The sequence below is a fragment of the Homo sapiens genome, chromosome X (genome assembly GCF_000001405.40).
Source record: "Homo sapiens chromosome X, GRCh38.p14 Primary Assembly".
Lineage (NCBI taxonomy): Eukaryota > Metazoa > Chordata > Mammalia > Primates > Hominidae > Homo > Homo sapiens.
This window is the reverse complement of record NC_000023.11, coordinates 21,481,424-21,496,286: the sequence shown is the minus strand read 5'-3', so window position 1 is coordinate 21,496,286 and position 14,863 is coordinate 21,481,424. Positions and strand designations below refer to the sequence as shown.

The window sequence follows — 14,863 nt, the reverse complement described above, 5'->3', positions numbered from 1 at the left end:
AGAAGAGGACAAGATCTCTGTAAATATTTTTCATTCAGGAATTAACAATATTATATCAGATTAATAAAGGATCTTAAAATACAGTCATGTGATGCATAATGACGTCCTGGTTAATAGTGAACTATATATACGATGGTGGTCCCATATAATTATGTAATGATATTTTTATTGTACCTTTTCCATGTTTAGATATGTTTAGATACACAGATACTTAACACTGTGTCACAATTGCCTACAGTATTCAGTACAGTAACATGCTATACAGGTTTGTAGACTAGGAGCAATAGGCTCTATCATCTAGCCTAGGTTTGTAGTAGGCTGTACTATCTAGGTTTGTGTAAGTACATTCTATGGTGTTCACATAATGATGAAATTACCTAAGGATGCATTTCTCGGAATGGAATCCCGTCATTAAATGAAGCATGACTGCACATTTGTAAGAGCTAGAGAGTAAATTTTTCGTGTTTTTTTTTTTTTTTTTTTTTTTTTTTTTTTTTTTTTTTGAGACGGAGCTTCACTTTCGTCCCCCAGGCTGGAGTGCAGTGGCAGAATCTCGGCTCACTGCAACCTCTGCCTCCCGGGTTCAAGTGATTCTCCTGCCTCAGCCTCCCGAGTAGCTGGGATTACAGGCGCTCACCACCACGCCCAGCTAATTTTTGTATTTTTAGTAAAGACGGGTTTTACCATGTTGGCCAGGCTGGTCTAGAACTCCTGACCTCAGGTGATCTGCCTGCCTTGGCCTCTCACGCTGCTGGGATTATAGACATAAGCCACGGTGCCTGGCCAATTTTTAGTTTTTGACATATAAGGGTTGTGAGAGGATAAAGTGGAAAAAGTGAACAAAACAAAATACACTGTTCGGACACACAAAATAATTATCATCCATCATTATCTATCACCACCATTAATATCTACTTGTTACAATGTGCCAGGGACTGTTTTAAGTGTCTTGCACTTATTTCACAATAGTCTATGTAGTGGAAACTATCATTATCTCTGTTTTAGAGATAAGGAAACTGAGGCACAGAGAGGCTGGGGAGTCTGCCCAAGGTGGTGAAGCCAGCTTTCAAGCCCAGGCAGTCTGACTCCAGAGTCCACACTCTCAACCACTGGGCTCCTGATTTATGGCTTTATTTACAGTTAGGAGAGTTGTACACCTTAACTTTTCTTATTAGAATATTTGATGACTGTAGATATTAAAGTCAAACATTCACTTTTTAATATCTGTTCTAAAAGACTAAGACCACTTTAGCAAATATGTAGTATATGAAATGTAGCTAAAAGAATAACTGGGATTGATATTTTACAAATTCATTTCAATTACCCATCTCTCTTTGAGGCAGGATAGGTAGTCAAGGAATTAACATGTCCTTGGAATTTGGCAACTGTGGCGAATGTATGGTTAACACAATAAGCCCCAGCATTCACAATGTAGTCAAGCTCATTCAAGCACAGCTAGGAAATTTCCCCCGGAGGGAGCACGTGCATTTTGATTTTACCTGTCCTCAAACTAAGCCTTTGCTCATTATAATAGTAAAAAGCACAGCCCTGGGTGGAGATTTAAGATGCTAAAGAGACATGCAACATATGAACAGGCATGTACAGCTACTGTGCACGTGCACACCCAGAGGACCACCCAGAACATGCTTACTAGTAACAGCTCTTCCCACCCCCATATAAATAATCACGTAAGACTCCCATAAAGGGAGTCTCCCTAGTGCCAGTCTTGGCGGTCTCATCCTCAGGAGCAGCCTGCCCTGAATCCTCTCTCAGGGTGTACTGGCTATTCTGCACCTAACTTTCACAATATTCTTTTTCCTTTGCAATAAATTGCTCTATGCTACATCTCCTTTGCTGTGTATCTCTTGTTTAAGTTCTTTTAAACTAAGAAGAACCGAGGTTTCACAACAGCTGTCAACATCTTGACAACTGTAAGCAGAAGTTGATTCTATTTTTCTCCATGTATCTTTCACTATTGACTACGAATTAAAGGTGTTTGACAAGAGTCCTAAATGATTCTATAAATGATGAGGTCATAAAGAAAGCCTAATATTTAAAGAAAAATGTTTAGAAAAGACACTGTAGTTATTGGGATAATAAAAAATCATGGAAACAGCATAGCTATGACTCTAAATTTATCTGTGTATAATTATTACAAATACCAGGAACTTAACTGACAATTGTAAGCCAAAGACAGTATCTAGTAGTTATAGGAAGAGGATCTCATCATGACAACATTGTACAATTTATATTAAAGCTATTTTTTTTCAGATGAATAAAAATTTTAAATGCTTAGAGATGTATCTACATATAGACATAAAGCAATAGGGTAGAAATAAAACAAATTTTTAAATGCCACAAGAATAAAGATATTTTGTTTTATGTAATATTTTCACTTCTAAACTCAATAAACCATGTTGTAACTGCTTTTAATAATCAAAACTGACTTCTTTGTCTTTTTTAATCTCCCTCTCATAGTAGTAATGAGAAAAATGGCCAAAAGTCAGGCACCAAAAGAAAGAGAAGAAATAAGTTGCTTGGATGAGTTTCAAACTAATCATCTTCTGAATAAGAAAGGGTCCAGAGAAATACATCTGATTCATTGTTCACCTCTGAGAAAGGGCCAAACAGCAGGAGGACATGTAATTCAAATGACTCTTTTTCTGGAACCGTGACAAATATGGCTTTCCATTTCATCAAAACCTTCATTCCTCCTTTTCTCTCTTCTTAAAAATTCATTAATTAATTCTAGAGCTGACTTGCACAGCTCCCTCTCTCCTGCTCAGGTTGCCAAAATGACATTTGCTTTGCTCTGTCTCCAAATGTTGGTTAACCAACAGGAGCCAAAGCAACCTCTCAGTCAAGTTGGTGGAATAAGGCATATTTGGAGATGGTCCAAGTACCCAAATAGAAAAAGAACTCCCTGAGGCCAAGAGGTTTCCCCAGGGATGACCCCAGTCCCTTCCTCTCTATTTGGCTCATGCCTTGGCTCTGATCCAGTTTGGTTGTTTCAATAGCTCTCATTTTCCTTCCTTTAATTTTCTGCTAATTATTGTTGTTTAAAAGCACTTTAGAAGAAAGTTTCATATGGTTCAATCATAACTAAGGTTGTTTCTCACCAGTCCTTACAATGCTTTAGGACTGTTAAACCTAAGAAATTCTAGGAGATTTGACTAATTAGAAAGCTGATAAACGATGTATCCAGTTTATCAGCAGGAGAACAAATCAGTTACCTTTTGCCTATGAGACATGTTCTGTCCTAACATTGGAAGAACACCTTCTGTGGATATTTCTAAGCTAATTAAATTTCATTAAATCTTGGTATTCTCCCACCGCTTTCTATTTCTTTCCTTCATTTATCATTTAGACATTTACTATGGCTAATTACCAAAATCCTAAATCAAAATCCTAAAATTGGTTTATTTCAAATGTGACTGACTAAACTTACTTAAACGTGACTGAGTTTTAAAACGATACCTTGAATAAGCCATGTAAATTCTCTGTTTAGTACTTCCCCTTTGATACGAATCACAAAAAATAGTTTTATACTTAACTCTTTCTATTAATATTCAACATTTTGAGTTTTTCTTTTCCTTCCTTTCAATTCCCAGTGAAGTGCTGCCCCTTGTCCTTTAAAAACAAATTTCTCTAAGTAATTTCAGTTTTAAAGTCATCCTCCTAAGCTTCTCATACCTGTTTAGCAATTCAAAATTTGAATGTGGAATAGTAAAAAAAGCTTTGTTCAGATGTACTTCATCTAGATTTACCTGGACTTAAACCCTGCCTCTGTTATTTATTGTCTATATGTGATACAGAGCAAACTGGTGAATATGTGCAATTTTATTTTCTCATTTGCAAAATGAGAAAATTAATATCTACTCTATAGAGGTGTGAGAAAAATACCTGGCAAGTGATGGGCATTCATTTCTTTTCTCTTCTAGCTCTCTCCTAAACTGTTTAACTGAATCTGGTTCTTAGCATTTTAAGTTCCCAGATCTACCTCTTTCAAATGAAAACAATAAAGGACCTGTCCAGGGCTATACCTTCCTTAAAAAATCAAGATTTCATAAAGCCCATTAATTAGCATTGTTTTGACTTATTTTACAAGGTTATTTCTCCCAATGATTTCAGTGGAAATTAGAGAAAAAAAGTCAGGCTTTTTTCTTTTTAGAACCACAGACTAAGAGCCAGAAGGAGCTTTAAAGATGATCTCCTCATCTCCCTCACCTACATGACTAGATCAAGGCCAAGGTGGTTAAATTTACTCTCCCATCTCTTCAAGATCACTCTCATAGTTATATTTTATGTAAGTTATTTGTATCTGGGTGTTCTGACTTCTAGTTTAATACAATGTTGTATTAGTTCATAATTTTTCACTCTAAAAATCATGCTTAGGGGACTTCCTTTCCCTTATAACTACTAAAAGGGGATACATAGAAAGGCCAATCCTTATTGCTATAGATTGAAGTGTTTTAAAAATAAAACTGGACTTTGTAGATGTAACTAAAAGGAATAAAAAAATTTTAGATTATAATTACTTAACAGAAGTTCTAAATGTAATCAACATTAGATATAGCACTTACAGATCACAATGATGGCATGCTATGTCTGATATGCTGATTTTCATCATATTCCTTCCCAGGAAAACACCCATAAAAGCCACAACAGCACTAGGAACTACAGATAACCAGAATTAATTTGCCACATATCTGCAGAAAACTTACTCTCTAGGATAGATGGCCTCAAACTGAAAAATCAGTGGTAGTCAATAAAGGCTTTGCCTTCTGAACAGTTATATAGATGTATGAAAAAGAAAAGCCACAGAAAAAGTTAAACTTGCTTAGAGATCTTAAAGAATATATTATCTGAATTCAATTATTAATGCTAGTTGTCAAGATTTCTATTTTCCAAAATATCATTAATTGGTAAATTCATATACAGGGAGAAAGTGGAAACACTATAGCACCAAACTAACATGTAATAGTTGTGTAGTAGTTAAGATATTCTCTAGCCAGTTTCTTGTTTTCTGTCTCAATATCAATTTTTATATGCTTTCTTCCTATAGACTTATATTTTAAAAAATCTCTCTCTTGGGTTAAATCTAGAACCAATACACTTTTTAATCAGGTGAACAAAATATCAAACATGATTATATTTATTATTACATAATAAAAAAATACAACTCATAGACATCTAGTGTTGGCAATATCCACGTGCTTACTTACCCTTCTAAGAATGAATGCGAGTTATAAAGAATATCAGTTTTGTTTAGCTAACCCACCCTAGGGGAAGGAATAACTATTAAAACCAGAACAAACCAAAGTAAAACAAACAAAACAAACAAACAAAAAACCAACTTTCATGAGCAGGTAACATTGTGGTGTTTATTATAAAACTCTTAAACTTCCTTTAAACCTAAGGAACTTTGGTAGGGAGGGAGGTGAAAGAATGTAATTGAAGCTAAATGAGTACCAAATTAAATTAATTCAGAAGTCACCATTTTCAATTCTCCTTCATTTTCATTTATCTTCATAAAACTTCTTATCATGCATCACAAACTTCCACTACCATAACTCCTCCAGGAAAAAAATACCAAAATGTTCAGTGTCTGTTGAAATTCATAGATTCCCACATTCAGAGGCTGCTTTGTCCACATCATTAGCTCTCTACTGATGGATGGTGGTTTTGATAAACATGGTATCTCTTACCAGCCCTTCGCTTGGTTTAATGTTTGCCAGTTGAATCACTTCCAGGTGAGCAGACTGTGAAACCAGAGGATCTGACGACAGGGATATGATGTGGTCACAGACTCCAGAAAGAGTTTTACACTGGAAGCACAAAAACAAAAATAGTTGTGGTAAATACGTGTTGTAAGTAACATATAAATCACCTTTTGTAATAACGTTTTCATAAGGAAAAATAAACAGTAGAAGAAAGTAACTGGCATTTTATTCTGTAAAATCTGTACAAAGAAATTCAGGTGAAATGGAAACACATTTACACACAACACACCTATATTCTAAATTATGAGTGTAAGAACTATATGCCAAAATATTCATTAGTTATGGTTATACTGTTTCTATTATTTGATTTACCATACCTACAAAAAATGATGGTTAAACAAACTTAATCTGAGAACCTCCTGATTACAACCACAAGATTGAACTGAACACTATAAAAAATCTCGAAGTCTTTTAATTCATGGTCAGAAAAGTTAAAAAAAATCTGGCCAAGATCCAGGAAAGATGAATCTTCCAAATAAGCTTAACAAACTCTTCCTACTTATTTATCTAGACTTTCCTGCTCAACTTTGTATAAAGTTTCCCACCTCCTCCAGGCAAAGTCTCAATCCTGCTTTCTCAGCATTCTATGAACAATCTGAAACTGCGAAACTATTTTATTCTGAATCCCTCTGAGGCAGGTACCATGCCCTACTCATCTCTGTCTTCTTATCTTTTTCCCTCCACCCCCACCTACCACCTACATCAGGTAGACAAATCCTAGAAAATACAAAGCATTCAATAAATATTAGTTGAATGAACTGAAGAGCAAATGAGCTTAAACAATTAGTAGAGTGGCTTTACTAAGGACAGAAAGCTAGTGCTTTTGTCAGGATAAATCCATTCGTACTAACTGTATGAAACAATAAATGTAAAATATGTGTTACAGCTATCATGGTATTTTAAGGCTTACACATGGCAAAATCATGAAGAAAGTAGAATAGGAGTGAAGAAGCTTGAAATATACTGCCCTAAAATATGCTGGCCCTCAGATGCTTCACAGACTCTCATTGTATTTACTGAAGCCTGATTTTCATCATTTGAAACTTTTTTTTTTGCTTTAACTATAGGAGGAACTATTATTTTGCAATCAAGGTATTATCATCTATCCATCTCCAACATGTTACATTTGTTCTGTAGCCACTGTTATTAGTCTACTGTGAGGTAGACAGTGTTAACCCAAAATATCTGAGACAAATCTCAGTCAATTTAGGAAGTTTATTTTGCCAAGGTTAAGGACACGCCCGTGACACAGCCTCAGTAGGTCCTGATGACATGTACCCATGGTGATTGGAGTACAGCTTGCTTTTATACATTTTAGAGAGACATGAGACATCAATCAATATGTGTAAGATGTACACTGCTTCAGTCCTGTAAGGCAGGACAACTCGAAGTGGGGGCTTCCAGGTTAGAAGTAGATAACAGACAAAAGGTTGCATTCTTTTGAGTCTTTGATCAGCCTTCCACTGAATACAAAATTTAGTCTGGCTCAGTGAATCTGCATTTTTATATAAACAAAGAGGGCAGAGGAAGCAATCAGATATGCATTTGTCTCAGGTGAGCCTCAGAGGAATGACTTTGAGTTCTGTCTGTCCTTTGTCCACAAGGTATTTCCTTGTGGGCAAATTGTGAGGGAGGTATGTAGCTTCTTATCTTTGTAGCTACCGTATTTAGAAATAAAATGGGAGGCAGGTTTGACTGACATTGTTCCCAGCTTGACTTTTCCCTTGGCTTAGTGATTTGGGGATCCCGAGATTTATTTTCCCCTCACAACAGTTTCTCCTGTCTGGTCAAGATAATAAGAACTCTCTTTTTATTTACTATGTTCTGTCCTTGGTCCATGGCCTCACTTTGTGCTGGGTTCAGATTCTTTACACTAAAGAAACTGTCATGCTAAATTTCGCTAATTGTGCTAGTGCTGTTTGCATCTGCTTCTCAAGTCTGTACTTTTATTGTGTCTATCAGCCCCTCAAGAGAGACAGCCTCATGGTACCAATACCCATAGAAAGAACATGGGCTTGATCTGAAGACAGTTGTGGGCAATCACCACACTGCCAATGATTGCTGTGTGACTATAAACAAGTTATTTTATATCCTTGAGATTCACTTTCCTCAGATAGAAAATGAAATGAGCTAATAAAGATTACTTTATATGGCTGACATGCTAAGACATGATAATGCATTAAAAAGAGTTCAATATGGCTCCTATCCAAAAAAGACACCCAATAAATGCTTTTTCCTCCTCTGTTGCTTTCTCAACCCTTAAAATACTGAAATCCTATTCATGGTATGAATTATCTCATTATTCTTAATTGAATTACCTTGCTGACCATCTTACAATGATCAGTAACTACACTGGTTAGTCTAGCTGCATGGCCATGATGGACAGTTCACATCTCTTTACTCTCTCTGACGCTCAGGTCTCAATGCTCTTAGATACAATGAAGGTATTTACTCTGAAAAGCTGCTAGGCAAAGTGCCAACAGGAAGATCATTCCCCTGAAATAGGAAACCCTTCAGGGCCAGCTTTGTGGGAGGGTGACTTGTGCAGTTGCACATGGGCCTACACTTGGTTTTATGCTCTGCTGTTGCTATCCTAGAATTCTTAATTGTTTTTGAACAAGGGGCTTGGCATTTTCATTTTGTACTAGGTCTCACAAATTATGTGGCCCATCCTGGAATCCCATTCTCTGTATTTTTAAAAATTTGTCTTAAAAATATACATCAGCAGCCATGGAGAAAGGACAGAATGGCAGTACTTAACATATAAAAACTGGCTGCGGTTCAAATTCTATGTTTGACAGGAAGAAAAATAATGGCAGAATTAAATCTTTTAGCTATTCCTTCCCTTACCTATGTGGTTATATTTTCATTCTTATTTTCTCTTTATCTCAAGTAGGGGAGATAACACTGTGAATGCTGAAGGGTTTCTATACAGGATACTTGGATAGCATGCTAATCTGAAGGGTACGAAGTCAGTATGTTAAAAAGAACCCTTGTGGTTTCTACAAATTGAAGCATATTTCAAAAGAGTCCAATACATAAATAGGAAAGTAATGGATGTATATAAATGGCTCTCTGTCTATATATACATATGTATATTTCTTACAACATTCAAGGCCTCATATAACACTCTTGTAATGAGCAACAGTAGCTCTCCTATTCAGGCACTGGTAGTTTTATAGAACTGGAGTGGAAAAAGGAAAGGCAGAAATACCAGACTGTAGACATTTTAGGGAAAAGAAAATACCAATTAAATTCATCATATTAAGTTGCAAAAACGTCTTCTCAGATTCCTCTTGAGTAATTTTGTTTGCCAAATGCTTGCTATGTGCTAGGTGCTGCTAGGAATACAAAAGGTGAGTAAACACATTGACTTTACCAGCAAAGCTATCAGGAGTTAACAGATTAAAGGTCTTAAAAAATAGAATTAGAAAAGAAACCCCATTAGAACTTTGCTTCCTGTTTTAGAGATAATACGCTAGAAACTTTATATTGTAGCATTTGGCACTTAACTAAATAAGGCAATTAGAAGGGGTATAAAATGGTCTTGCTTTACATGCTAATTCTATACTCATTACTGCATCATACATCAAGTTACTGCAGGAAACCACATTAGCAGCACTATAGGAAAGTTCCAGGGAAGTTATTTAATGTATCTTACAAAACCTGAATTTGGTCAATGCTATTCATTAAGTGAAATCATGTGAGACATTATATTATTATAATTTATATTTTAAAACACAATATTATCTATTACTACCTAAGCATATTCTAGAAAAAGAAAATCATAAAATAGCAAGAAAAATACCCTTTTATTATAATTCAACAACATTATTATTAGCTATAATTTGTAGATCACCTACCATGTGTCTGGCACAATGCTAAATACTTCATATTTATTATCTCGTTTATCCTAATAACAACTTCCTAAAGTAGGTATTATAGCGAGTTTAACAGATGTGAGAAGGAGGCTAAATAGACCAAGGTCATTAGCATGGCAGAAGGACTTGAATTCCTAATCATTATTGTGCTAATTCTGTTTCTATGCTTAGCACTGGACTTTTTTTGATCAATTTCATTTTGTATTGTTTAAAATCAATGTCTACATTAGATGGATGTTATATAACATGTTTAAACTACATAGTATAACAAAATATAAGGCAGGCTTGCAAGTGTTCTTGCAATTTAGAATGTAGTTTAGATAAGGAATATTAGAACTGAGACTGTGAAAGACATGGCTGTCTGGGAAAACTTAGAGCAATTTTACCAGCAAAAGGACAACTCTATACTAGCTAGAAGATGACTAGTAACCACTGTTATTATTTGCTATTTTCGCAATATTCATATCAAATTATTTTATTTTATTTTAATTTTATTTTTGAGATGGAGTCTCGATCTGTTGCCCAGGCTGGAGTGCAGTGGCGGCTCACTGCAACCTCCGCCTCCCGGGTTCAAGCAATTCTGTCTCAGCCTCCTGAGCAGCTGGGACTACAGGCTCACGCCACCACGCCCGGCTACTTTTTGTATTTTTAGTAGAGATGGGGTTTCATCATATTGGTCAGGCTGGTCTTTAACTCCTGACCTTAGGTAATCCACCTACTTCGGCCTCCCAAAGTTCTGGGATTGCAGGCGTGAGCCACTGCACCCAGCCCCCGAGGTATTTTAAATTATATTTATCTTTATTTCTAAAAATAGAAGAAAAATTTGTACCTAAAATTAAAGAATAGTAAATGATATGCCTTAAAAAAGCTACAGAGAACATGAAATGGAAATAAATGTTTAACTGACTTTCTGGATTCTGTTATAAACTACCCAAGGTGACAAAGGATTAATGACTGAATAACAGACAAGGGTAGCCATGACTTAATCTTTTAAAACTGAAGAGTGTCATATGCTGAATTTTATGGTATTGTGTGTTTTTTTTCTCAGGTAGTTTATATTAATTTCAAATATGAATATAATACATCATATTCTCAGGCTGAAATGCAAAGTTTTTGTATTCTGTTCTATACTATCTATCTGCACATACACGCACACACACATACATATATATATACACACACACATACACGCTGGTTTACCTAAATATAAGCTTTAAAGGGGAAAAAGATCAGAGCAGAGCATATTTAGCACAAAATAAAGCAACATTTTAATGTGGGGATTCAAAAAATAATAATCCCACATTAAGACATTAACCAATAATAAGATAGCATTCTTTCATTATGTCTGAATAGATTTCTTTCATTATATCTGAATTTATCAGATACTTTTAAGATTAATACATGAAGTTTTAGCTACTATTGTTATTATTATTATTTTTTGAGATAGAGTCTCACTTTGTTGCCCAGGCTGGAGTGCAGTGGCATGATCTTGGCTCACTGCCACCTCCACCTCCCGGGTTCAAGCTATTCTCCTGCCTCAGCCTCCCGAGTAGCTGGGATTACAGGCACCTGCCACTACACCCCGCTAATTTTTTGTATTTTTAGTAGAGATGGGGTTTCACCATGTTGGCCTGGCTGGTCTCGAACTCCTGACCTCATGATTCGCCTGCCTTGGCCTCCCAAAGTGCTAAGATTACAGGCGTGAGCCACCACGCCTGGCCAGCTATTGTTTTTTTAAAAAAGAAATGCAGAAAGTGTTCTAAGTGCAAACAGTGGTAAAAAGCTAAGGGACAGAAAAAACTCTTATGTCAGTCTGGAAGCACACTTAGGCATTATTGAGCTACTTAAAGTATTTTTATTTGCTTTTCTAAGTAAGTGGGGTACTGTTCAATTATTCTTCCAAGTATACTGGAACAAATGAATAAAAATATCTTTAGTTTAAAAAGTCAGAAAATTCATTTGATGCAGGAAAGAACTCAAGGCTGATAAGGTTAAAAAAAGCTTTACAAAAAGAAATTTATACTTTTTGGGTATATACGTATATACAAGGAATAAGAGTATAAAATATAAAATCAAGATAAATTAAGGAAGCAACAGATAGATATACATCTTAAGATGGCAACAATGATGTGAAAGTTACAATTTAAATACAGTTTAAACAATTCAGGCTTATTATCAATAGCATGGAAAATAGTAATGAAAGTTTATTTTGATAAACAGTTGTGTACATGTTTAAATATTTATTGATATAAATAATATTTCAATTAAAATGTCTAAAGAATAAAGTATGGGTTTTTGTTTTGTTTTGTTTTGTTTTGTTTTGTTTTGTTTTGAAACGAAGTCTCACTCTGTCGCCAGGGCTGGAGGGCAATGATGCAATCTCAGCTCACTGCAGCCTCTGACTCCTCGGTGCAAGTGATTCTTCTGCCTTAGCCTCCCAAGTAGCTGGGACTACAGGTGCGCACCACTACGCCCAGCTAATTTTTTGTATTTTTAGTAGAGATGGGGTTTCACCATGTTGGCCAGGCTGGTCTTGAACTCCTGACCTCGTGATTTGCCTGCCTCGGCCTCCCAAAGTGCTGGGATTACAGGCATGGGCCACTGCACCCAGCCAGTATGTTTTTATTTTATTGTTTTATTTGAATATTAGTATAATTCAGTATTATAAGTTCTGCAACTCTGTGCCAATGTAGGATGACATGTGCATTGTACTGGGGGAACAAGGGAGGCTTTGTTTTTTATAAAATATCATACATTTATTCTGATATTAAGTTGTGAGAACTGTAAGTATACGCCTCACTAAATATAGTATGTTTAGTATCTTAGTACTTGACAGATTTCTGTTGAGCTAGAAATTTTGCACTCTTATGATGGTTCCCTAACAAGACACAACTGTTGAACAATCATAGGTAACTTTGAAAGAGTAACATTCAGAAACAGAATTTAAATTAGTATTTAAAATTATTATTCCATATACACATTCTCCAACTCAGGAAGAATTTCTTTTATATATATATATATATATATATTTTATTATACTTTAAGTTCTAGGGTACATTTACACAACGTGCAGGTTTGTTACATATGTATACATGTGCCATGTTCGTGTGCTGTACCCATTAACTTGTCATTTACATTAGGTATATCTCCTAATGCTATCCCTCCCCGCTCCCCCAACCCCACAACAGGCCCCAGTGTGTGATGTTCCCCTTCTTGTGTCCAAGTGTTCTCATTGTTCAATTCCCACCTATGAGTGATTGTTCAATTCCCATCTATGAGTGAGAACATGCAGTGTTTGGTTTTTTGTCCTTGTGATAGTTTGCTGAGAATGATGGTTTCCAGCTTCATCCATGTCCCTACAAAGGACGTGAACTCATCATTTTTTATGGCTGCATAGTATTCCATAGTGTACATATGCCACATTTTCTTAATCCAGTCTATCACTGTTGGACATTTGGGTTGGTTCCAAGTCTTTGCTATTGTGAGTAATGCCGTAATAAACATACGTGCAACACAGGAAGAATTTCTTGTTCATACGAGTACAGAGAATTGAAGGAGAAAAACTTTTTAAACTTGAAAAACTAATGTAATAGAATAAAATTCCAATTTTAACCCAATATTAAAATTATATTTATATACAGCAAAGACTAAGATTTTCAAATAGCTTGAGAAAGCAAATAGTTGCAAGTAAATAAAGGTCATGTGAACTTCATCCCAATAAGGCCTGGAAAACTCCTACAATCCCTTTACATGTCAAACTCTCATGGTGGGGAAAAACACAACAAAAATCACCAGCCTTCATTAAGCCATTCATGCCTTCAACAATCACTAAGTGTCTGTTACATGATTCAAACGCCAACTACTACACTCAAGAATTTCATAGCCTGGGACAGTGTTTCTGCTAATGTATTTGGTTTTGTGCTTACCATCACTGACACTGAGCATGCTGCCCTTGTGTTCCTGATAACAGAAAAGAAGCAATGACCCCTAACAGCCTATTATGCGTTAAAATTAGTAAGTCAAAATTCATGATCTTAAAAGCATAATTTCCTCCTAATTTCTTACATTTTCCCACATTAAAACTTAAAGGTCCTAAAGCTTATTGACAGTGTTAGTCCTGTTACTACAAGCTTCTAATTACTTAAATCCTTATATTCACAGAATTTTGAGACAGATGATTTGAAATCATTTTGTTTAATCTTCCTGAATGACACTCGGGGATCCATGAGAGGTTAAGTGTCACACAACAAAGTTCATGGAAAAGTCAAGACTAAAACCCAGAAGTGCTGATGCTTAGTCAAATGTTCTTTTCACAATGACATGTTGTTGCCTCTAATCAAAAAAGTATTTATAATAAATAAGACATGAATCAAATAAGTTAGGAGGCAATATAGTACCTTATATTTAAATTCTCAAAAGAATTGTTCTCGTATTTATTCTCTGCTGGCTACTAGTCTCTCTTTGGCTTTAAAAAATACATTTTTTGTTTTTGTTCTTCTTGAGTTGAAATTTAAATTAATGATACTGTATTAGGTATCTATAGCTGTGTAACAAATTACTACAAGGTTGGAGGCTTAAAGAAACACACATTCTCTCAGTTTCCATGGCTCAGGAGTCCAGGCACTGGAACCAGTCCCCGGTCTCACAAGGCAGAAACCAAGCTGTCAACTTGGCTGTATTCCTACAGGGAGGTGTAAGTAGGGAAGAATCTGCTTTCAAGTTCATTCAGGTTGTCAGCAGAATCCACTTCCTTGTGGCTGTATGACTGAGGTCCCCACTTTCCTGTTGGCTGTCATCTGGAGATTGTTCTCAACTCCCAGAGGCTGTCCTCAGGTCCTCACTGCGTGACTCCCTACACAGGCCCTCTCACAACATGGCAGCTGATTTCTTCAAGGCCAGCAAGAGAATATCTGCCTCCTTTGAATCTTGTTTTAAAGGGCTCACATGATAAGGTCAGGCCCACCAAGATAATCTCTCTTTTAATTATATTAAAGTCAACTGACAAGAGACCTTAAATACATCCTTGAAATTCCTTCACCTTTGCCATAGATCAAAACCTAATCATGAGAGTGAAATTCATTGTATTCCCTGGTCTCAACCACACTGAAGAAGAGGGCAGTTATATACCAGGGGACAGGGGTCCTGGGGGTCATCTTAGAATCCTGTCTACCATGAATGCCAAAGGAAAATTATCAATAG

The 14,863-nt window shown here is 35.9% G+C and overlaps 1 protein-coding gene across 8 annotated transcripts in view; it reads right to left on the bottom strand.

Annotated features, from left to right (window-relative positions):
* CNKSR2 (connector enhancer of kinase suppressor of Ras 2) overlaps window positions 1-14,863 on the bottom strand; it is a 280,272-nt gene that overhangs the window by 158,403 nt on the left and 107,006 nt on the right. For all 8 annotated transcript variants that reach the window (NM_014927.5, NM_001168647.3, NM_001330770.2 and 5 more), the window contains exon 6: window positions 5,709-5,828. In NM_014927.5, the coding sequence (NP_055742.2) occupies window positions 5,709-5,828 (120 nt within the window). The remainder of the gene's footprint in view (window positions 1-5,708; window positions 5,829-14,863) is intronic.